This window comes from Homo sapiens, chromosome 14, assembly GCF_000001405.40.
Source record: "Homo sapiens chromosome 14, GRCh38.p14 Primary Assembly".
Classification (NCBI taxonomy): domain Eukaryota; kingdom Metazoa; phylum Chordata; class Mammalia; order Primates; family Hominidae; genus Homo; species Homo sapiens.
This window is the reverse complement of record NC_000014.9, coordinates 19,306,400-19,331,275: the sequence shown is the minus strand read 5'-3', so window position 1 is coordinate 19,331,275 and position 24,876 is coordinate 19,306,400. Positions and strand designations below refer to the sequence as shown.

The following is a 24,876-nucleotide window of genomic DNA, read 5'->3' as shown; positions in this document are numbered from 1 at the left end:
AATATATTGTATCACTTTGATAACATCCATTTGAATTATAGTGAGATATGTGTGTTGTTTTGATTTATATCTTTCTCATGGTTTGTGATGTTATTCAAGTTTTTAAAACTTGTTTTCAATGTTATGTCTTTTTTGTAGAAATGTCTATTCAGGTTTTGTTTGGTTATTAGTTTCTCTTTTGTGTTTTTGCTAGTGAGTAGTGTTAGTTGCTTAGACATTTTGAAGACAGCCTTTTATCAGATGTATGTTTGTCGAAACGTTTCTTGTAGAATGAAACATATATGGAAATGTTCTGTGCAATCAAAACAGCAGTGGTAACAGAGGAGATGTAGGCTCTGAGTGTCTCACTGGAGACTGAAGTCCACAGATATGCAACAAAGCCTTTGTCTCCCTGATGTTTTTGCCTCCTGCTGGTCATGTGCTTTCACACATCAAGAGAGGACATTTAACATTTGAGCCACAGTGTCATTTGCTGTTGTCTGATGGGTGAGATTTTTGCTGGCGTAGTCCATATTGTCATATGTTCTTGGGGCCCACAGGATTATTCTTGGTCATCTAAGATGTTACTGACATCTTATCACCTTAAGATGTTGCTGACTTAATCACCTTCAACTGACTCCTATTCATTCTTTGAAATAAGCAGACACATGTTGTTTCAGTGATTCTTTCAGTTGGTGATTTGCCTGGTGCATTGCTGTGTGAGGTCACCTCCCGTCAAATGACCCACAGGTGGTAACAGTCTGTGAACAAACAGTTTACAGGAGGGACCAACCATGTGCGGACGGACATGGGGTGGGTCATTTCAAAGTGAGGTAGTCAACCTGGGCCCTAGACTGGCACAGACAGAAGAAGCCACAATCCTTTAGAGAGAAAAAAATTACAAAGTATAAATATCCTTTGTTAAGATTAACAGAGACCATTTTCAGAGGGCGTAATAGTATTAAAATGTGTTCTCATTGTTCAGCTCCCACTTACGAGCGAGAACATGCAGTGTTTGGTTTTCTGTTCCTGTGTTAGCTTGCTGAGGATGATGGCTTCCAGCTTCATCCCTGTCCCTGCAGAGGACTTGATCTCATACCTTTTTATGGCTGTGTAGTATTCCATGATGTATATGTAGTACATTTTATTTTTCCAGTCTATCATTGATGGGCATATGGGTTGGTTCCAAGTCTTTACCATTGTGAATAGTGCTGCTATAACCATACATGGAGCAGATGGTTCGCAAAGCAAGATGGACCTCTGAGCAAGATGAGCTCCAAGCTTGATGGAGCTCAGAGCAGATGGAGCTCCAGGTGAGATGGAGCTCCGATTAATATGAAGCTCGGAGCAGATGTTTCTGAGTATGATGGAGCACCAAGCCTGTGGTCTCAGAGCAAGATGGAGCTCCGAGCAGATGGTACTCAGAGCCAGATGGAGCTAGGAGTGACTGGGGCTCTGAGCAAGGTGGAGCTCAGAACAGATGGTGCTCAGAGCAAGATGGAGCTTGGAGTGATTGGAGCTCCAAGCAAGATGGAGCTTGGAGCAGATGGAGCTCTTAGCAGATGGAACTCAGAGCACCATGGAGCATGGAGTGTCCAGCTCAGAGCAAATATAGCTCAGACAAGAAGGAGCTCCAAGCAAGATGGAGCTTGGAGCCGATGTTCCTCTGTGTAAGATGGAGCCCAGAGCAAGATAAAGCTTGGAGTCGTTGGAACTCTCAACAGTTCTCTGAGCAGTTGGAACTCTGAGCAAGATGGAGCTCTGAACAAGATGGTGCTCAGAGCAGATGAAACTCTGAGCAATAAGGAGATCTAAGCAAGATGGAGCTTGGTGCAGATGTTGCTCAGTTTCAGATGGAGCTCAGAGCAGATGGTGCTCAGAGCATGATGGAGCTCAGAATGATTAGAGCTCCAAGCAAGATGGAGCTCAGAGAAGATTGAGCTTGGAGCAGATAGGGCTCTGAACAAAAAGGAGCTCCAAGCAAGATGGAACTTGGAGCAGATGTTGCTCGGTGTAAGATGGAGCTCAGAGCAGATGCTCGTAACAACATGGAGCTTGAAATGATTGGAACTTAAAAACTTTACTCTGGAGGATTGGAACTCTGAGCAGATAGTGATCAGAGCAAGATCAGCCTCGGAGTGATTAGAGCTTCGAGCACAATGGGGCTTGGAGCAGATGCAGCTCTGAGCAAGATGTAGCTCAGAAAACATGTTGCTCACAGTAAGATGTAGCTTGAGCAGATGGTGTTCAGAGCAAAATGATGCTGGAAGTAATTGGAGCTCTCAGCAAGCTGGAGCTCGGAGCAGATGGAGCTTGGAGCAAACGAAGTTCGGAGCAAGAAGGAGCTCTAAGCAAGATGGAGCTTGGGGCAAATGTTCCTCAGTTTCAGATGGAGTTCAGAACAGATGGTGCTCAGAGCAAGATGGAGCTCAGAGAACATGCTGCTTACAGTAAGATGGAGCTTCGAGCACATGATGCTCAGAACAAAATGGAGCTGGAAGTGATTGGAGATATCAGCAAGATGGAGCTAGAAGATGCAGCTCCGAGAATATGGAGCTCTGAGCAGAGGGTACTCAGAGCAAGATGGAGTTTGGAGGGATTGGAGCTCTGAGAAAGATGGAGCTTGGAGCAAATGGAGCTCTGAGTAAATGGAGCTCTGAGCAAAGTGGAGCTCAGAGTGATGGAAGCTCTAAAGCAAGATGGAGCTGGGAGTAGATGGAGCTTCAAGAAGATGGTGCTCAGAGCAAGATGGAGCTTGGAGTGATTGGATCTCCGAACCAGATGGAGCTCAGATCAGATAGACCTCTGAGCAAGAAGGAGCTCCAAACAGAATGGAACTTGGAGCAGATGTTGCTGGTGTAAGATGGAGCTCAGAGCAGATGGTACTCAGAGCAAGAGGGAGCTCAGAATGATTGGCACTCTGAACATTGCTCTGAGCAATTGGAGCTCTGAGCAAGATGCAGCTCAGAGCAGACAGAGCTCTGAGCAAAAAAGGAGCTCTAAGCAAGATGGAGTTTGGAGGAGACGTTGCTTGGTTTTAGTTGGGGCTCAGAACAAAACGGAGCCCACAGTGATTACAGCTCCAAGCAAGGTAGAGCTCAGAGCACATGTAGCTCAGAGTAAGATGAGCTCTGTCCACATGGTGCTCAGAGCAAAATGGAGCTAGAAGTGATTGGAGCTCCCAGCAAGATGGGGCTTGGAGTGATTGGAACTCCTAGCAAGATGGAGCTCAAAGTGGATGGATCTCTGACTAGATGGAGCTCTGAGTAAGATGAATGTCTATGCAGATGTTGCTCACAGCAAGATAGTGCTTGGAGCGATTGGCACTTCGAGCAAGATGGAGCTTGGAGCAGATGGAGCTCTGAGCAAGATGGAGCTTGGAGTAGATAGAGCTTGGAGCAAGAAGGAGCTCCAAGCAAGATGGAGCTTGCAGCAGGTGCTTCTCAGTGTAAGATGGAGCTCAGAGAAGATGATGCTCAGAGCAAGGTTGAGCTCAGGGTGATTGGCACTCCAAACATTGCTCTGAGCCCATTGGAGCTCTGAGCAAGAAGGTGGGAAGTGAGCAAGAAGGTGAAGAAGTGATACATTCCCACAGAACATTACAAGTTTAGCGGAAGCTATTATTGAATGTAAAGAGAAGAATGCCCCAGAATTCTATGTGGATTGTCGGGACAATACTCATTTCTGTAATCAGGCCTACTTTCTTTTAAAAAGTTTATCATATCAAACCTCACAAGGACAACCAGAACTCTGCGATATCCACTCTACAAACCTCAGACCCCTACAGTGTAGTAAAGGTGGCAGCCAAGATAGAAAGACAGAAACACACTGTTGGATGACCAGTCTTTGGAAGTTGAGACAGCAAATGTGGATTTACTCAGATTATTTTCCTGTTAGCACCTCCAGGTGTTATTTTGATGGTACTTTGCATTGGGCTGATGACACAATGGGGAAACATAAACTGCTGACGCTGGACTTCAGCAGTACAGTAACAGCCATGTGCAAGGCCATTGAAAAAGTAAAGACTGGTGGTTACATTGCCACGTGTTTTTCTGCATGGCATCATCATCTTAACTATGGACTTTATGTGCTTTCACAGCAAGATGTTTCTAGTATTTAGAAATGGACCTTATGCATTGTATACTTCCTAAGAGCTTGGAAAGCTCTCACCCAGGTACTACCAAATGCCAGACATCTCTCTATGTGGGCCATTTTCTGCCACAGCCAGAATTCATTCTGGGTGACATGCTGTTCTTGGCTGCTAAGGAAGTGATGTGGGGGAGCCAGGTGTCTCTCGCTGTCTGTGAGTCTATGGGAAAAAGGAGAATACTGAAAGGCACTAAGTTTACTGCCACGTTTAGAGGAGCTTTGTCAAGGCAACACAAGAGTGTTGTAGTCCTTTGTGGCCAACACCAACCTGAGTTTTTACAGCAGTTGTTGCGTAATGATCACAGTCACATTCAAGTTCACTTTCTAAATCTTAGGTTCTACAAAAACTCTGTCTGATAATGTCCTATAGACCTTTCGGTAGCTAAAATCAATGAGTTTGAAAAATAATTTGAATTTGGCTTGCTCACCTTTTCAGCAGAATGCACTTGTGAGTCCTGCTCTGTCATTGTATTTTACATGTGTGGCTGTCCCTCTTGCTGTGTTGGAAGTCAGTGTTCCAGAATGTTAACTTCTACAAATACCTATGTATAGAGCAAAGAGAAAACTCTTCAAGTCAAAAGAGTGTATATTATTTCAGGGCAGCTCTCTAGCCTTGGATTTGAAACTATAGTATTTGTTACACAGAGAGAAGATGGTTCTTTTTTGTATTTTATTTTTAATGTTTGTGGGTACATAGTATTTATGGAGTACATGAGATGTTTTGACACGGGCATTCAATGTGAAAAAAAGCACATCCTAGAGAATGGGGTATCCCCTCAGTGATTCTTTGAGTTACAAATATTCCAATTACACTCTTTATGTTATTTTCAAATATATGATTAAGTTATTATTGACTATAGTCACCTGGGTTTGCTATCAAATAGTAGGTTTTTATTATATATTATTTCTTTTTTGTTTTTTGTATCCATTAACAATTCCTGCCTCCCCCTCACTCTCTCACTACCCTTCCCAAGCTCTGGTAATCATCCTTCTACTCTCTATGTCCATGAGTTTAATTGTTTTTATTTTTAGATCCCGGAAATAAGCGAGAACACATGATGTTTGTATTTCTGTGCCTGGCTTATTTTTCTTGACATAATCATCTTCAGTTCCATCCATGTTGTTGCAAATGACAGGCTTTCATTTTTATGGCTGAATAGTACTCCACTGTGTATATGTACCACATTTTCTTCATTCATCTGTTGATGGACACTTAGGTTGCTTTCAAATATTAGTAATTGTAAACAGTGCTGCAGCAAACCTAGGAGTGCAGAAATCTCTTTGATATACTCATTTCCTTTCTTTTGGGTATATACCAAGCAGTGGGATTTTTGGATCATATGGTAGTATATCTGTTTTTTTTCAGGAAACTCCAAACTGTCCAAGGAGATAGTTCTGTTGTGATTACTTCATTGAGAAATTTAACTTATGAGCCGTTGAAAGGAATGCAAGTTGCTGCAAAATCCGAATGAAGAGTGCAAAACGACTAAGCTACAATGTTTTGTCATTATTCACTCTGATGTGAAAAAGGCAGTGAATTTAATAGAAAATAACTTCGTAGAGCAAAATCTCAGGTGTGTTTTTTTAGTGCCGCAGTCTTGGATGATGGGTTCCTAGAAGCTCTCAACATCTCTTCTTAATTGGAGAAAGTGTTAAGCCCCAAAGTAGCTGGAGCAGTACATCTTCAATTTTTGACAAGAAAGCAGGAACTTGATTACTTTGAGTGCTATTCATTAGTTTCTGCTTTCATTGAGAATGCAACAAAAGCCAACTAGGCTGCTGCTAACTCCTTGCTGGACTTCTTCTGCCACTGTCACAGGAACTGTAATCTCACTGGACAATTAACTAGGGAGTCTTTCATCTTGAGTGACTGCTGCACAAATGATCTTCAAAGCATTTTAGCCACCAGAGGAATTCTCTTGAAATACCCAAAATCCATCAGTATCTTGAATCATGCTGGATTTTGAAGAATTCTTAACAAGCCATGTAAAGGGGGCTCTCTGGCCTTGAAATAGTGATGTTTTTTATACAGAAAGGAGAATGCAGAATGGTCAGACTACCATGCACTGTTAAATTTGATTTCAAGAAATTACAGGAAAACTTTCCAAAGTTCCATCTCACAGAAATTATTTTTACAAAGAATTCCAAGATAAGTTTAGTTTTATGGAAGACTTTTATGTGGTTTTTACTCACTCTTCATCTCAGACATCAACAGATGATTACATCACTTATTTAGCTAGTAAATTTATTAATATAAAAACTCAGAGACATTCCAATATCCACATTGCTTACACCATTAGGCATAGATTCAGTGTCAGCTATGACAATTGAAAATAAGCTGTTTTGTGATTTAAAGGTTTAAATTTCTCTAACCAAACTGCTTGATCCAGATGCAGGACTGCAAATGTTAATATTTGTTCTGGAAGAACAATCAAATAAGACTTAAGAGGAAAAGGAATGGCCACAATCCACCTGAAATTTTTTTTTAAAAAGTGTGCAGCCTACTAAATCAGAATGAAAATAGAAGTACAAGATTATAAACAAAATGCAATCAAACTTTTCTTAAGCTTACCTAAAGTTATTTCATCTGAAAATTTCAAGCAACTTTGTTCAACATTAAATTGACAATCTAAACTAACAAGTCTTTTGAATTTATGCATGGTAGTAAACATTCTCTCTATTAACTGTATTACCTAAGGCTAAACCTAAAATTTTTAAGCAAAATTAGAAAAATAGTCTTCACTCATCAAAAAATAAAGTTTGTTACATTTAGTATTTTCCCAATAAAATTGGTCGTTCTTGGTTTTTTATTTGGAGAGTCTGTGCAAAATGTCACTAAAAATAAATTAGCACTAGAAATTATTTCTAAATACCAAAAAAAAAAAAATGAAGAATGGTTTCACAAAGAAAAAAAGAAAACTTTCTTAATTAGCAGAGTATCATCTCTGTGATTTTTGTGATTATTTGATCAGTGTGCTGAGATGGATACAATGGCAAGTAATGACAAAATTAAAATAAGCATGCAGATTTTTTTAAATTAAGTGCCAAAAAATAATGGGTCGTGCAAAGCCCTTAAAAACACTGTGGCCTAATTCTAAAGTTTTTTGCTACTATGCTACATCACACCCAACATCAGTTAAGTGCTCATTCTGTGACAGGTAGTACATTACATTTTAGCAAACTACACAAGACCCCTATGTGATAATATGCTTCGGGGTTGTAAGGTTGGGTGCGTTTAGTAGTCTTGAATTTTCTGGGAGTATACAAACCCAATATTAGTCTAGATGCCCAAAGATCTATTTAGACGTCAAAGTAGAATGGAGAGAAATCTTGACCACAGGAAGCTGTGTTGTGGCATTTATTTTGAAATTATTTTTTCTTGATTTTTTTGCCTTTTAATTCTTTTGTGAGTTTTATAATGCACAGAATATTTTAAAATTATTATATATATAAACTGATTAGTCTTCAATTTAAACTTACACCTCTGGGGTCTTACTTGGGTTTCTCCTAACAATATTATACACATATTTGCAATAATTTCTCTCATACTGCTTTTAACTCATTTAATTTTTCAACTTTTCAAGAATAACAAAAGTGATATTAACTGTAAAAATGCTGAAGTGACATATGAATTTATGAAGTGCATATGTATTTTTTATTTTACCAATGAGATGGGAGAAATGCTGTCTTATATTTTAACATACATTTTGGCCATTACACAGATGAAGCAACTTTTCATTTGTTAATACATAGCATACGTTTTCTTCTGTGTAATTCCTCTTTATATTCTTTGCTCATTTTCCCACTGGGATTTGCAAGTTCTTTATTATTTGATAATCTCTATACATTCTGAATATCCATTTTTTTGTTATGTATACCATGTAAATATTTTCTTCTAATTTGTTATTTGTCTCAATGGTATTTATCAAGTGTTTGCTAAAAATGAGTTTGTTTAGTTAGTAAAATTTGTCTGTCTTTTACTTCATGATATTTATATTTCATGTCATGAGGAAAAGGCATGAATATTTTAAAAACTTCCTTGTAGTATTAATTTTATTTTTTATTTCATTCTTTAAGTTATTTGAAATTTATTGTTTATTTCTTCAAATTCCAAATAATAACCAACTTTCTCAAAGTAATACTTCTTTCTACTGATTTCAAATGTTACATTTGTCTTCTCTGAAGTTCTTGTCTATTTGATACCTGACGGTCACACTACTGCTGTGGATGTGCTTCGTACCACCACAGTACTGCAGGGTTATAAGATTATCTGATAGCCAATAGAAGCAGACCTCTACTCACTGTCATTCTTTTTTCTTTTGGAGAAGAAAGTTAGCTATTTTTATCTGGGTTCTCAATTTTTTTTTTTTTCTTTTTGAGATGAAGCCTTGCTCTCTCACCCAGGCTAGAGTGCAGTGGCATAATCTTGGCTCTCTGCAACCTCTGCCTCCCTGGTTCAATTGATTCTCCTGCCTCAGGCTCCTGAGTAGCCAGGATTACAGGCATCCATCACCACGCCTGGCTAATTTTTTTATTTTTAGTAGAGACAGGGTTTCACCATCTTGGCCAGGCTGGTCTTGAACTCCTGACCTCGTGTTGCACCCACCTCTGATTCCCAAAGTCCTGGGATTACAGGCGTGAGCCACCGCACCTAACCGGGTTCTCAGTTTCGTATAAACTTTAAAGTAGATTATCAAATCACATACCAATTGCCATCTGATTGAAATTTCAATGTTTTTATATGTAAGTTTCGAGACTAAAGCCATCTCTATTCTTTCAGCACTTCAGATGTTTATCTTTCAATTCAAAATGTATTCTAAGTTTTATTTTGATGTTTCTTTGTGAATTATTCAGAAGTTTGTTGTTTGATTTCCAAACACTTGTGTGTTTACTAAGTATCTTATTGATATTCATTTTTTTCTTTTTTAATTTATATTTTAGGTTCAGGGGGTACACGTGCAGCTTTGTTATGTAGGCAAATTGCATGTTGCTGGGGTTTCATGGAAAAAATAATTTAGTCACTGAGGTAGTGAGCATAGTACCTGATAGGCATAAGTAATCTTTCAATCTTCACCGATTTTTCACCCTCTACCCTCACACAGGCCCTAGTATCTATTGGTCCTTGTTTTGGACCATGTGGAGCCAATGTTTATCTCTCATTTATAGGTGATAATATATGCTGTCTTTTTCTGTTTTTGTGTTAATCTGCTTAATTTGTGGGATGTAGCCTCCAGCTACATCCATTTTGTTGCAAAAGCCATAAATTTATTGTTTTTTTGTTGCTACACAGTATTTCATGGTGTATATGTACCAATTTTTTTTCTTTTTGAGATAGAGTCTCACTCTGACACCCAGGCTGGAGTGCTGTGGCATAATCTGGGCCCACTGCAACCTTCGCCTCCCAGGTTCAAGCTATTCTGCCACCTCAGTTTCCCAAGTAGCTGGGTCTACAGGCATGTACCACCATGCCTGGCTAATTTTTGTATTTTTAGTAGAGATGGTGTTTCACCATGTTGGCCAGGCTTTTCTCAAACTCCTGATATCAAATGATCCACCCATCTCGGCCTCCCAAAGTGCTGGGAATACAGGCGTGAGCAACCACGTCAGGCGGTACACATTTTTTTTTTTCTAGTCCACCACTGATGAGCCTCTAGGTTGGTTCCATGTTTTTGCTACTGTTAATAGTGCTGTGATAATCATACAAGTACATGTGTCATTTGGTAGAACAATTCATATTTCTTTGTGTATGTGCCCAGTAATGAGACTGCTGCGCCAAATGGTAGTTCTGTTTGAGTTTTTTGAGAAATCTTCACACTGCTTTATACAATGGCTGAATTAATTTACATTCCCAACGGAAGTGTATAAGATTTCCCTTTTCTCTGCAACCTCAGCAACATCTGTTATTTTCTGACTTTTTATTAGTAGCCATTGTGATTGGTATGAAATGGTATCTCATTGTGGTTTTCATTTGCATTTCTCTAATGATTAGTGATTTTTAAAATGGAGCATTTTTTCATATTCTTGTTAACAGCATGTATGTCTTTTTTGAGAAGTGTCTGTTCTTGTCCTTTGCCCATTTTTCAATGAGGTTGTTTAGTTTTTGCTTAAAAATTTTTTTAAGTTCCTTACAGGTTCTGGATATGAGACCTTTGTCAGATCCATAGTTTGCAAATATTTTCTCCCATTTTGTCGGTTGTCTGTTTACTCTGCTGATAGTTTCTTTTGTTGAACATAATCTCCTTAGTATACTTAGGTCCCACTTGTCTATTTATGTTTTTGTTGCAATAGCTATTGGAAACTTGATCATAAAATCCTTGTTATTGCCTATGTCCAGAATATTATGTTCTGGGCTTTTGTCTAGGGTTTTTATACTTTTAGGTTTTACATTTAGGTCTTTAATCCATCTTAAGTTGATTTTTTTAATATGTTGGAAGGAAGTTGTCCATTTTAAATCTTCTGAATATGGCTAAACAGTCATCCTAGTACCATTCATTGAATAGGGAGTCTGTTCCCATTGCTTCTAATTATAGACTTTGTCAAAGATCAGATGGTTGTAGGAGTGCAGCCTACAACCTTCTCTAATCTGTTCCATTGGCTTTTGTGTCATGGTTTTTTTACCAGACCTATGATGTTTTGGTTACTATATCCTTGGAGTATAGTTTGTGAACCCTCAAAATCTGAGACAGTTCTCAGTTAATTTACAAAGTTGACATTGCCCAGCTAGCCATATGTAGAAAGCTGAAACTGGATCCCTTCCTTACACCTTATACAAAAATTAATTCAAGATGGATTAAAGACTTAAATGTTAGACCCAAAACCATAAAAATCCTAGAAGAAAACCTAGGCAATACCATTCAGGACATAGGCATGGGCAAGGACTTCATGTTTAAAAACACCAAAAACAATGGCAACAAAAGCCAATATTGACAAATGGGATCTAATTAAACTAAAGAGCTTCTGCACAGCAAAAGAAGCTACCATCAGAGTGAACAGGCAACCTACAGAATGGGAGGAAATTTTTGCAATCTACTCATCTGACAAAGGGCTAATATCCAGAATCTACAATGAACTCAAATTTACCAGAAAAAAACAAACAACCCCATCAACAAGTGGGTGAAGGATATGAACAGACACTTCTCAAAAGAAGACATTTATGCAGCCAAAAGACACATGAAAAAATGTTCATCATCACTGGTCATCAGAGAAATGCAAATCAAAACCACAATGAGATACCATCTCACACCAGTTAGAATGGCGATCTTTACAAAGTCAGGAAACAACAGGTGCTGGAGAGGATGTGGAGAAATAGTAGAACTTTTACACTGTTGGTGGTACTGTAAACTAGTTCAACCATTGTGGAAGTCAGTGTTGCGATTCCTCAGGGATCTAGAACTAGAAATACCATTTGACCCAGCCATCCCATTACTGGGTATATACCCAAAGGATTATAAATCATGCTGCTATGAAGACACATACACACATATGTTTATTGCGGCACTATTCACAATAGCAAAGACTTGGAACCAATCCAGATGTCCAACAATGATAGACCGGATTAAGAAAATGTGGCACATATACACCATGGAATACTATGCAGCCATAAAATTTATGAGTTCATGTCCTTTGTAGGGACATGGATGAAGCTGGAAACTGTCATTCTCAGCAAACTATCACAAGGACAAAAGACCAAACACCACATGTTCTAACTCATAGGTGGGAATTGAACAAAGAGAACACTTGGACACAGGAAGGGGAACATCACACATTGGGTCTGTTGTGGGGTGGGGTGAGGGGGGAGGGATAGCATTATGAGATATACTTACTGTAAATGATGAGTTAATGGGTGCAGCACACCAACATGGCACATGTATACATATGTAACAAACCTGCACATTGTGCACATGTACCCTAGAACTTAAAGTGTAATAAAATATATATATGTATATAAAAATAAATGGCTGATCAGGAAAAAAAAATTTAGGAAGTAGAATTCAACAACACATCAAAAAGATTATACATCATGATTAAGTGGGAATTATCTCTGGCATGCAAGGCTGGTTTAACATATGTAAATCAATGTGATATATCACATTAACAAAATGAAAGATAAAACAACATGGTCACCTGAATTGATGCAGACAAAGCATTTAACAAAGTTTAGCAACCTTTCTTGATAAAACCTTTTAATAGTTTATGTATAGAAGGAAAGTTCCTCAACATAATAAAGACCGTTTATGAGAAACCCATGGCCTACATCATAGTCAGTGGGGAATAACTAAAAGCTTTTCTACTAAGATTGAGTACAAGATAGGGATGCCCAGTCTCATCACTTTTATTGAACATAGTACTTGCAAGAGCAATCTGATGAGGAAAAAAAAGCAACTAAATTAAAGAAGTAAAATTATCTCTATCTGCAGATGACAAGACCCTTTATGTAAGAAACTCCAAACATTCCACAAAAAACTCTGAGAACTACTAAATCAATTCAGTTAAGCTGCAAAGTATAAACTCAACATATAAAAATCAGTTGCATTTCTATATACAAATAACCTAGCTGACAAAGAAATCAAGAAAACAATCTCATTTACAATAACATCAAAGAAAAACATATACGTAGGAATGAATTTAACCAATAAGACGGAAGATGTGTACACTTGAAAACCATAAAACATTGATGAAAGAAATTTAGATATGAACAAATGAAAAGATATCCTATGTTTATGGATCAGAAGAATTAATATTGTTAAAATGTTCACACTACCCAAAGCAAATATATAGATTTAACGCAATCCTCATCAAAGTTCTGGTGGCATTCTTCACAGAACAGAAAAAAACAATCCTGACCAGGTGTTGTGGTTCATGCCTGTAATCCCAGCACTTTGGGAGGCCGAGGCAGGTGGATCACGAGGTCAGGACTTGGAGACCAGCCTGGCCAATATAGTGAAACCCTGTCTCTACTAAAACTACAAAAATTAGCCGGATATAGCGGCATGTGCCTGTAGTCCCAGCTACTCGGGAGGCTGAGGCAGGAGAATTGCTTGAATCCGGGAAGCAGAGGTTGCAGTGAGCCAAGGTTGTGCCACTGCACTCCAACTTGGGCAACAGAGTGAGACTTCATCTCAAGAAAAAAACAAACAAACAAACAAACAAAAAAAAAAACAGAAAAAACAATCCTGAAACTTGTATGGAACCACAAAAAACCCCAAACAGCCAACAGATTACTGTGAAAGAAAAAGTTGGAGGCATCACACCTCTTGATTTAAAATTGTATTACGAAGCTATAGTAATCAAAACAGTATGATACTGGCATAGAAACAAAAAGTATAAACCAATGGAACAGAACAGAGACCTTTGAAATAAATCCAAACATATACTGTCAACTAATTTTTGACAAGGGCAAACAAGACAACACAATGGAAAGAAAAATAGTCTCTTCAATAATAGTGCTGGGAAAACTGGATTTTCACATTCAAAAGAATAAAAATGGACCCTGATCATACACCATACACAAAAATCAACTCAAAACAGATACAAGACCCAAGACCCAAATAAGACCTGAAACCTTAAAACTCCTAGAAGAGAACATAGGGGGAAAGCCTCTTGACATTGGCCTTAGCAATTATTTTTTGGATATCACACCACAAGCCAGGCTACAAATGGAAACATAAACAAGGAGGACTGCATCAAACTAAAAAGCTTCTGCACAGCAAAGGAAAAAACCAACAAAATGAAAAGAGAACCTACAGACTGGAGGAAATATTTGCAGATCATATACCTGTTAAAGAGTTAGTGTCCAAAAATCAGTAAAGAACTCTTTTAATAACAGGAAAAACAACCCAGTTGAAAAATGAGCCAAATAGGAAATGACCAATAGCAAATGGGGAGACGTACATTAAGAAAATACAAAGTAGCAGACATATAGGATGATCAAGTTAGAGATCTAATGTACATCATGAGGGCTATAGTTAATAAAAATGTATTGTCTTTAGGATTTTTGTTAAATACGTAGATTTTAGCTGTTCCTGTCACACAAAAAAATGTAACTATGTAAGATGGTAGATATGTTAATTTGCTTCACTGTAGTAACCAGTTTACTGTCTATATGTATCCTTAAGGTCATGTGGTCAACCTCAAATATATAAGATAAAATTTAAAAAGAAAAGTTTGTCTTCCATCCAGAAAGAACCACTATTGCCATTTTTTGGTATTCCGTTCCAAAATATTCCATGAATATACAATTGTTCAATCAAATTTAATGTTAGACTTTCTACTTGAACATTCAAAGCACTTAAGAAATTATAGAAAAGTGTCTGTGTGACTCCCTGTCTGCAGAGCACAGGCTGCATCTCCACTAATACACATGCCACCGGTACTTTATACAGAGTCCTTGTTTGCCTTTAGTCTGATGCCGTGGGTGAGCCTGAGTTGTCCTGTGGTCCGCGTTCCTGACCAGGTGTCTTTCTCACCCACTGGTTTCAAAAAAGATGTTACTGGGTTATAGAAGGCTGGGATGGAAACAGGATACCAAGTTCGCATGAAGACAGTATCTGAAAAGAGAGGTAATTTACTTTAACATTTTCAAAAGAAGATGCATATCCATATTGTGAAGAAACAAAGAACAAAACCTTCACTCCAAACTTCTCTACCTGGTTGCAAAGTATTTGAAGGGAAAGCTCACTAAGGAAGCTACTCCCATAGATCCCAGAACTGTTACTGGGTGTGGCCAGGGGACTGCAGACACAAAGCGAATGGGCACACCGCATAAGACTGGGAGATCTAAGGCTGGAGCTGCTCAACTCTCTAGAGACCTGACTCCAGCCTCTCGTCACACTGGCTAGAAGTCAAGCATGAATGGTAACATGCTGCCCTGAACACTACTCAAGACACTCACTGCTCATCAGCAGCTTATGCTCAAAGCTGGCCTGGAAGGCTCCTTCTGGAGCCCGGAGTGCTTTCTTGATCTGCTGCCTTATCTCGCTGACAGTTTGAATCACAGCACCTTCAAATATGGCCACTTCCAAGGCAGAATTAAACATTCCCTATGGGTATAGCAAGATAAAAATACACACAAAAAATCATATACTTTCTGCTTTACTTCTTACCTCAAACATACATCCTTGGTTAAAGAACAAAAACAACTCACTGAAAGGTGATAAAATAATCAAAATGTATTTGCCCCTGGAAGTGGAATTACTACCACAAAAAGAATACAACTCTTTCATTTTTCCCAAAATAATCATGTGGGTTCGTGGGCATGCTCATCACTGCTGTCTGTGTGGAAGAGAAGATTAAAGAGGGATTTACTGGACTGCACTGTCCTAGGCAGCCTTTGCTGGCATCTCTCAGCCTAGACTGCAGCCCAGATCCTTTTACTCAGGTGCATGCATTTAGAACATGAAAACAGTAAGATAAACACTGGTGGTATTATTACTTTATATTGCAAGAACACTTAATGATCTTACTATGTGTTTTTAATAGAAACATCCCCACTAATGAAATTGTCAATAAATACTGCTCAAACCACCTTCCCCAAATACTGAAAAACAGTACATCCATTTCTCTACCCTTGCCAAGTTGTCTGCAAATGCTCTGTTTTTCTACTGAATGGTTAGACAAACTTGTGATTTTTTTCCCCTTTCTTAACACAAATCAAAAAAGTAGGAAACAAAACCCAGTGGATAAAACGACATTTTTTTTTTTTCTTGAGACAGAGTCTTGCGCTGTCACCAGGCTGGAGTGCAGTGGTGCAATCTCAGCTCACTGCAACCTCTGCCTCGCAGGCTCAAGCAATTCTCCCCCATTAGCCTCCCAAGTAGCTGGCCCCACAGGTGCGTACCACCACACCTGCTAATTTTTTGTATTTTTGGTAGAGATTAGGTTTCACCATGTTGACCAGGCTGGTCTCAAACTCCTGAGCTGTAGCGATCTGCCTCCCTCAGCTCCCTACAGCTACACCTGTACTGGGATTACAGGTGTGAGCCACTGCACCTACACTTAGCTGTATCTAAAAATACATCACCAAACCCAAGGTCACCTGGATATTCTTGATCTAGAAGTTTTGTGATTCTGCATTCTACATTTAGATCTTTGATCCATTTTGAGTTTTAATTTTTGAGAAGGGTGTAAAGTCTGAACTTAGATTCTTTTTTTTTGTACATGGACATCCAATTTTTAAGCACCATTTGTTGAAGAGACTGCATTCTTTCATTTAATTGCCTTTGCTTCTTTGTCAAAGCTCAGCTAACTATATTTGCATAGGTCAATTTCCGGGCTCTCTCTTCTGAACCATTGATCAATCTGCATATTCTTTCACTAATGCCATGCTATCTCAATTATTTAGCTGGAGAGTAAGTCTTAAAGTTGGGTAGTGTCAGTCTTCTGAGTTGTTATTCTTCAGCATTTTGACTATGAGTCTTTTGCGTCTTCATATAAGCTTTAGAATAAATGTGTTTATATCTACAAAATAACCTGCTAGAATTTTAATTGGAGTAGAGTTGAATCTATAGATCAAGAAGGGGAGTATTAACATCTTAACAATACTGAGTCTTGCTATCCTTGCACATGAAATATATATCAATTTATTTAGGTTTCCTTTGATTTCTTTCATTAAAGTTTTGAAGTTTTCCTCATATAGATCCTGTACATATTTTGTTTACTGTATGCCTACATATTTCATTTTTGGGGTACTCATGTAAATAGCATTGTATTTGAAATTTCAAATTCCAGTTTTTTTCATTGCTAGTATATAGGAAAGCAATTAACTTTTAATACTAACCTTATGGTTTGGATTTGTGTCCCCACTCAAATCTCATGTCTAATTGTAATCCCCAGTGTAGGAGGAGGGGTCTGGGCAGAGGTAATTGGATCATGGGGGAGGATTTCTCCCTTGCCATTCTTGTATAGTGAGTTCTCACCAGATCTGATTGTTTAAAAGTACGTAGCATCTTCCCTTTTGCTCTCTCTTCCTCCTGCTTCAGCCATGTAAGGCGTGTCACCTCCCTCTTCACCTCCTGCCATGATTGTAAATTTCTTGAGGCTTCCTCAGCCATGCTTCTTGTTCAGCCTGCAGAATCGTGATCCAATTAAACCACTTTTCTTTATAAAATTACCCAGTCTCAGGTAGTTCTTCATAGCAGTGCAAGAACAGACTAATACAGAAAATTGGTACTGGGAAGTAGAGCATTGCTATGAAGATACCTGAAAATGTGGAAGCAGCTTTGGAAGTGGGTAATGGGCAGAGGTTGGAACAGTTTGGAGAGCTTAGAAGAAGACAGGAAGGCCTGGGCCCAGTGGCTCATGCCTGTAATCCCAGCACTTTGGGAGTCTGAGGTGGGCAGATCTCAAGGTCAGGAGATTGAGACCATGCTGGCTAACACGGTGAAACCCCATCTCTACTAAAAATACAAAAAAAAAAAAAAAAAAAAAAAAAAAGAAAGAAAAGAAAAGAATTAGCCAGGTGTGGTGGCATGCACCTATAGTCCTAGCTACTAGGGAGGCTTGGGCAGGAGAATTGCTTGAACTCAGGAGGCAGAGTGGTGAAAATGAGCATCTCTTGTTCCAGAGCTTAGAGGAGAGGCTTTCAGTTTTTCTGCCATTCAGTAAGATACTATACTTGTGGGAGTGTCTTATATGGCTTTTATTGTGTTGAGGTATGTTTCTTCTATACCCTGTTTTTTGAAGGGTTTTTACAATAAAATGTTGAATTTTATCAAATGCTTTACCGCATCAATTGACATTATTATATAAGTTTTGTCCTTCATTCTGTTGATATGATGATCACATTGATTTGCGTATTTTGAACCATCCTTCCATTCCTGGCATAAATTCCACTTAGTCATTATGAATAATTCTCAATATGTTGTGGATTTGTTTTGTTTGTAAATTTCCTTGAGGATTTTTGCATCAATTTTTCATAGGGATATTGGCCTGTAGTTTTCTCTTTTAATTTGTCTTTGGTTTAAGTATCAGGCATTGAAATATTCCTCCCTCCTCTATTTTTTGGGATAGTTTGAGTAGGATTGGTGTTAGTTATTCTGTACGTGTTTGGTAAAATACAGCAGTGAAGCTATTGCTTCCAGGATTTTCTTTGTTGGTAGTTTTTATTAAGGCTTTGATTTCATTATTTGTTATTGGTCGGTTCAGGTTTTGAATTTCTTCATGGTTCAATCTTGGTAGGTTAAACTACTACAAGAAGACATTGGGGAAATTCTCCAGGCTATTAGACTATGGAAAGATTTCTTAAGCAATACCCCACAAGCACAGGCAACCAAAGCAAAAGTGGACAATTGGGATTGCATTAAGTTAAAAAGCTTCTGCATAGCAAAAGAGACAGTCAACAAAGAGAAAATCCAAAAAATGGGGAAACGTATTTGCAAACTATCCATTTGACAAGGGATTAATAACCAGAATATATAAAAAGCTCAAACAACTGTATAGAGAAAAATCTAATAATCTGATTTGAAAATGGGCAAGAGATCTTAATAGATATTTCTCAAAAAAAGAAATACAAAAGACTAACAGACTTAGGAAAAGGTGGCCAACATCACTGATTATCAGAGAAATGCAAATCAGAACTATGAAGAGATATCATCTCACCTCAGTTAAAATGGCTTTTTTTTCAAAAGACAGGTGATAACACATGCTGGTGAGGATATGGAAAAAAAGCCAACCCTTGCATACTGTTGGTGGGAATGTAAATTAGTGCAACCACTATGGAGAACAATTTGGAGGTTCCTCAAAAAACTAAAATTAGAGCTATCATATGATCCAGCAATCTCATTGCTAGATATATATACAAAAAAAGAAAATCAATATATCGAAGAGATAACTGCACTCCTATGTTTATTGCATTACTATTCACAATATCCAAGATGTAGAAGCAACCTCAGTGTCCATCAACAGATGAATGGATAAAGAAAATGTGCCTATATATGATGGAGTACTTTTCAGCCATAACAAAGAATGAGATTCTGTCATTAGTGACAACATGGAATGGTGCTGTAGGATATTATTTTAAGTAAAATAAGCCAGCCACAGAAAGATAAACTTTGTACATTCACATTGATTTGGGGGAGCTGAATATTAAAACAAACTCATGAAGATAGAGTAGAATGGTTGTTACTTGAGGCTGGGAAGTGTAGCCAGTGGGGGGAAGTGGGGATGGTTAATAGGTACAAAATGTAGTTACAATGAATAAGATCTTTTATTTGATAGCACAACGGGGTAGCTATAGTCAGCAATAGTTTTTTGTACATTTTAAGATAACTGCATATAACTGAATTGTTCATAATACAAGGAAATGATAAATGTTTGAGATGATGGATAACGCATTTACCCTGATGTGATTATTATGCATTATATGTTTGTATCAAAATATCTCATATACCCCATAAATACATATATGCCTACTGTGTACCCATAAAAACTACAAAAGACCCATAGATGGTGACACCTGGGGATTTCCTGATACAATAGTGGGTTCTGGCTGATCATCCCACAGGGAAGCCACTCAGCAGCCACACAGTTCCCCCTACACACCCCCACCTAGTAATCGGCTTTGTTAGTATATAAACCTTAAAATATGTGCAGAAAATATCACAAGTCATACGGGAGATGTAAAGCAAGATCACAAAGAGGTACAACTTCATACCCATTAAAATGGCGATTATAATGCAAACAAACAAAAGATGGAAAATTAAAAGTGTTGACAAGGACATGGAGAAAATGAAACCCTTGTGCATTACTAATAGTAGTGTAAAGTGGTGGACTGCTCTACAGAGCAGCACAGTGGTTCCTCAAAAAGTTGAACATAGAATTACTATATGACCCAGTAATTCCACTTTGAGGTATATAGCCCCAATAATTAAATGCAGGGACCCAAAAAGATATTTCCATAGCAATGTTTACAGCAGCAGTACTCACAGTAGCCAGAAGGTGGAAGCAACATCATGCCCACTGGTGGATGAATGGATAAACAAATGTGATATATGCACGCAATGGAATATTATTGGAATATTATTCCTTTTTAAAGGAAGGAGATTCTGACACATTTCACAATGGGGATGAACAATGAAACCTTGAATACATTATGCTAATGGAAATAAGCCAAACACAAAAAGACAAATACTGTATGATTCCACTTATATGAGGTACCTAAGATAGGCAAAGTCATAGAGGCAGAAAGTAGAATGGTGGTTAATAGGGACTGGAAGATGACAGGAGTTAGGAATTACTGTTTTACAGGTACAGAGCTTCACATGAAAAAGTTCTAGAGAGGAATGGTGGGAATCATTACAAAACATTATGAATATAGTTAAAGCAACTGAACTGTACACTTAAAATAGTTAATGTGATGCATTTTATGTTACATGTATTTTGCCCACTGAAAAAATAAAAATATATAAACACACAGCAAATGATGACCAGGCCTTTGAAGAAAGCTTATAAAACAAAATTAAGAAGCCAAGGCTGGGAGCGGTGGCTAACGCCTGTAATCCTAGCACTTTGGGTGGCTGAGATGGGCGGACCACGAGGTAAAGACATCGAGACCATCCTGGCCAACATGGTGAAATGTATGTTTAGTCTCTACTAAAAATACAAAATTTAGCTGGGTGTGGTGGCATGTGCCTGTAGTCCCAGCTACTGAACCCGGGAGGTGGAGGTTGCAGTGAGCTGAGATCGCGCCACAGCACTCCAGCCTGGCTACAGAGCGAGACTCTGTCTCAAAAAAAAAAAAAAGAAAAAAAGAAAAAGAAAAAGAAAAAGAAACCAAAACACCAGGTAGCAATGGGGAGAATCGAAGAGGTGGGCAGAGTAAACAGAACACAAGGGCAAGGTCAGGAGAAGGCATTTGACAACTGTAAGAGTGACAGCATATGAAAATATCACCAGAAAGATAGAAAATCAAGGTGAATTAGATACCAGAAAATTAAACACAAAATACAAAAAATGAGAGAGGGAGATGACAAAAATTAGAAAATCAACTCAAGAGGTTCAATACCTAACGAGATCCAGAAGAAAAAGGGAAGCTAGAGGGGAAGAAAATTATTATAGAAACAATAGAAAGACATTTCCAAGAATTAACAAGAAAAACAGACATGTACCACTAGGGGTTTATTAAATGCACAAATTAAAAAAAAAATAAGCCTACCCCAAGATTCATGATTGGAATGGTATATGCTAAGGATACTCAAGAAATTTTAAATATTCTGAAGGGGGTAAAGCCAGAGTAGGTCAGGATGGGTGAGAGACAGGTCACATAAACATGTTATTTTGAAATATAAAAATACATTTTTTAAGTAAAAAATGTTGAAGTTGGCTGTGTCTGGGGAGTAAATAGGAAGTACTGAATGAAGAGCAGTCTGTTTCTTTGTGAAATCTTATACTACCATTGGACTTCTAGAACCATGTTTCTTTAAATTTTATCCTGGCTCTCTTTCAAAGTAATGCATTCACAGCTTATATTTACATGTAAAAATATGCAGGTGAAAAATGCTAATATAAAATTATTCCAAAGCCTTTTCTAAAGTGTCAAGAAGTGCTAGGATTTACTTAGCAGAAATCATCTCAGGATGAATTCCTTGTCAATTCTGGGAAATGACTGCCAGAGAGAGAGGAATAACAGAGTGGTCACAAAACTGTGATCAAAAGACAGCCTGATCAAAACATACACTAAGAAATTCATGATTGTTAGATAGAAAACACAAATGTGCAGATTCCCTGGGATTTCTCACTAAGTTAATATTTGCAGAAATAAACCATGTTTTAACTGTTCAGTTTCCTTTGGGATGCATTTAGTTTTAAATACATTCAATATTAATGAAATAACTAAATCTATTATAAATACTCTTTAAAAACATCAGAAAGTCAAGATAATTTGACTAAGTATCTAAAAATAAACTCATTTTCTTGAAAGAATGCAAGTAAAATGTTCAGTAAGTGATTAATACACGTACCACAGGTTACTCTGGCAATGTTGTGCTTCTTTTAGTTCATGGTAGTCTATGTAAGAGTCCTAGTCTTGTCAGAAAAGAGGTATTTTACCTAAATCAGAGAAACAAAAATATAGTATTCTGTTGTTTTTGACTCCACCTCTAGCTGAATTCAGAAGGCATATTCTGAAATAGCACAGAAAAACATGTAAAGTTTCTCAATCACTGTCACTACCACAATGAAGATGCATCTAAAAACAGCATGGGTCTGCTACAGATTATGTCACTTTCCACGATGCAAAGTTTTACAGATTTAATACACAAAGCTCTCAACTCACAAAGGTGAAAAGATAACTGACTGAGTAGGTCAGCAAGCAAACCATCTCAACAAGATTAAATGAATGCAAAACAGATGCACTCCAAATGCAAATGTGGTACGCAGATTACGTTACCTGTGGCCATATGTACTAAAGAAGAGGGAGAGAACTCAAGGCCCCAGAACAAGAGAGAAGTCCAGGCCAGGCTCTGGACACTAACTAGCCATGTGGATTGTGAACAGTCACCTCATCCTTCATGGCCTCAGTTTCCACATCTATGAAATAAGGGGTCTGGTCAGGAGACACATAACAGCATTCTACATGTAACTGGAGAAATTGTGTCATGGATAGGGAAGGGAGGGTAATTAACCCAATTGCCTCTAGAGGGCAAATAATTAACAGAATTGCCTCCAGTTTCTCCATGGCTTTCTAAAGAGGGGTCAAGACTTGCTGGATGCCAGATGTTTTCCAGGGATCCCAGAGAATTGGTCTATGGAGGCAGTGCTTTACTGTATTATAGAAGAGGAATTAATCACACTAATTGCTTACTCTGTACTTTTGCTTAATGATACAATATAAACAAATACAATGAGAAATCATTTTAAAGCAATCAAACGGGCTTCAAGTTATTAAAGCTCCTGAAGAATCAAACATTACCTCCATATATAGAATTATTATACTAGGTGCAATTAATGATTTGATTTATAGATGTTTTTACACAGGTTTGATATGCAACAAGTCTAGGGGTATAAAATCAATAAAATCTGCCTTCTAATAAGCAGTGGTTTCTGCCTTTTTCTTTAAAAATTATATCAAAATAGTAAAACATGAATATTTTAAAATAAAAAATTATTGACATTTATTTTCATTCTGCCTGCTGAATTTTAACTTTTCCTCAAAAAGAAAAACTTCTTTCTCATGCAAACTATCCCCATATCCCTAATTAGGATGAATTATTGAAGCATCCTGGGTGATTTCTGAACACTTTCAATCCTTCAATTATTCAGGTCTAGTTTAATGGCACCTGAGAACAATTACATACTGAGAACTGTCCTAAACTGACAAAGGCGACCAAAGAGCTTCTACAGGAGCATACCTGTACCCTCACATTGGCTCCAAAGTCTCCAGAGGGAAACGGACAGGACATGATGCATCAGCTCTTTTTTTACTGTATTATGCTTGGAGAGATTGTTATGGAAACATAGAATAAATAGATAGATAAATCAACCTTGCCTGGAAAACTGGAAAAAGGTTCAAAGAGGAGGCAAATTTAGACCAATATGTACCAAGAACTCATTGATTCTTACGGGAGTAGGTTATTACCAGACAGACAAGTGAAATTCAGTAGGCAGAATGATAATAAATGTCATTTATTAAATATTAAAAAGACAAATACCTTCCCTATTTTAGAAATAAGGTAGGCAAAGGAACTGAGGAGTGGAAATTGAAGGCCAGCTCTGGGTGCTTTGTGAACAGAGCCCAGTTGACAGTGGGAAGATCTGTGCTCTATGCTAAGGACATGCTCTGTAATGACAATCCACTCGGTTGCACTAAGAATTTAAGAGCATTTATATGAATATATACAATTTAAGGAAAGATAAAGAGAAAAATTTGCTATCAACTCTGTGTAGATTTGGAAAATGGTGTCAAAGGAACAGTTTCACCTGCATTTCTTTGTCTAGAAAGTTTTATTTTATTAAAAAATGTAGTCTACAAACGAGCCTCAATTTTTGGCAATAAACTCAAAAATGCTACACAAACCATCACAGAATTCGGTTTGTCCTTGCAGGAAAGAAAAAAGAAGAAAACAAACCTCCATACGAGAATGGGTCTAAAGGAACTTCCCAAACCTCCATGATTTTGCAGGAAACAAGATAAAGGTAATCACCTGCAGCACCTGGACCCATCTAGATTAACTACTCAGCCTCCAGAGGAAGGTCTTCAGGACTCAGACCTTAGTTATAGATTAGAAGTTAATCACTTATGTCTTCAGACAGGCCCTGTTCCATGTTTAGAGAGAGATCTTTGAGCACCCATCTTCATACATTTGAGAACAGGGTCACTGAGAGGGAGTCTCTGAGGTCACAGAGTTTATTAGTTCATTTTCACACTCCAGGAAAGAAGTTTAATTCACAGTTCCACATGGCTGGGGAGGCCTCAGGAAACTTACAATCATGGTGGAAGGGGAAGCAAACACATCCTTCACGTGGCAGCAGGAGAGAGAAGTGCAGAAGAGGGGAAAGTCCCCTTATAAAACCATCAGATCTCGTGGGAACTCACTCAGTATCACGAGAACAGCATGTGGGAACCACTCCCATGATGTAATGCCCTCTCACAAGGCCCCTCCCCCAACACGTGGGGATTACAGTTCAAAATGACATTTGGGTGCAGACACAGAGCCACACCATATTACAGAGCCAGAAGAGCTGAGCAGTGGGCGCTAAGTAAATGTTCATTAAACCAAACCCCTGCACAAGGCTGGCTTCATAGAGGTGCCACCT

At 38.1% G+C, this 24,876-nt stretch overlaps 1 long non-coding RNA gene and 2 pseudogenes across 5 annotated transcripts in view; 2 read left to right on the top strand and 1 right to left on the bottom strand.

Annotated features, from left to right (window-relative positions):
• Positions 1-24,876, top strand: part of LINC01297-DUXAP10-NBEAP6 (LINC01297-DUXAP10-NBEAP6 readthrough) — a 115,486-nt gene that overhangs the window by 53,013 nt on the left and 37,597 nt on the right. For all 3 annotated transcript variants that reach the window (NR_164308.1, NR_164310.1, NR_164309.1), the window contains one exon: positions 24,165-24,255. This is a non-coding gene — a long non-coding RNA (LINC01297-DUXAP10-NBEAP6 readthrough). The remainder of the gene's footprint in view (positions 1-24,164; positions 24,256-24,876) is intronic.
• The window catches only part of DUXAP10 (double homeobox A pseudogene 10), a 42,890-nt pseudogene that overhangs the window by 6,399 nt on the left and 11,615 nt on the right, over positions 1-24,876 (top strand). Inside the window, exon 7 of the transcript NR_110526.1 lies at positions 24,165-24,255. The product of NR_110526.1 is annotated as a double homeobox A pseudogene 10 (transcript). The remainder of the gene's footprint in view (positions 1-24,164; positions 24,256-24,876) is intronic.
• BMS1P17 (BMS1 pseudogene 17) lies at positions 14,362-24,586 on the bottom strand (annotated as a pseudogene). Its single transcript, NR_073460.1, has 3 exons — positions 24,264-24,586; positions 22,083-22,170; positions 14,362-14,675 (listed from the first exon to the last, which is right to left on the bottom strand). The product of NR_073460.1 is annotated as a BMS1 pseudogene 17 (transcript).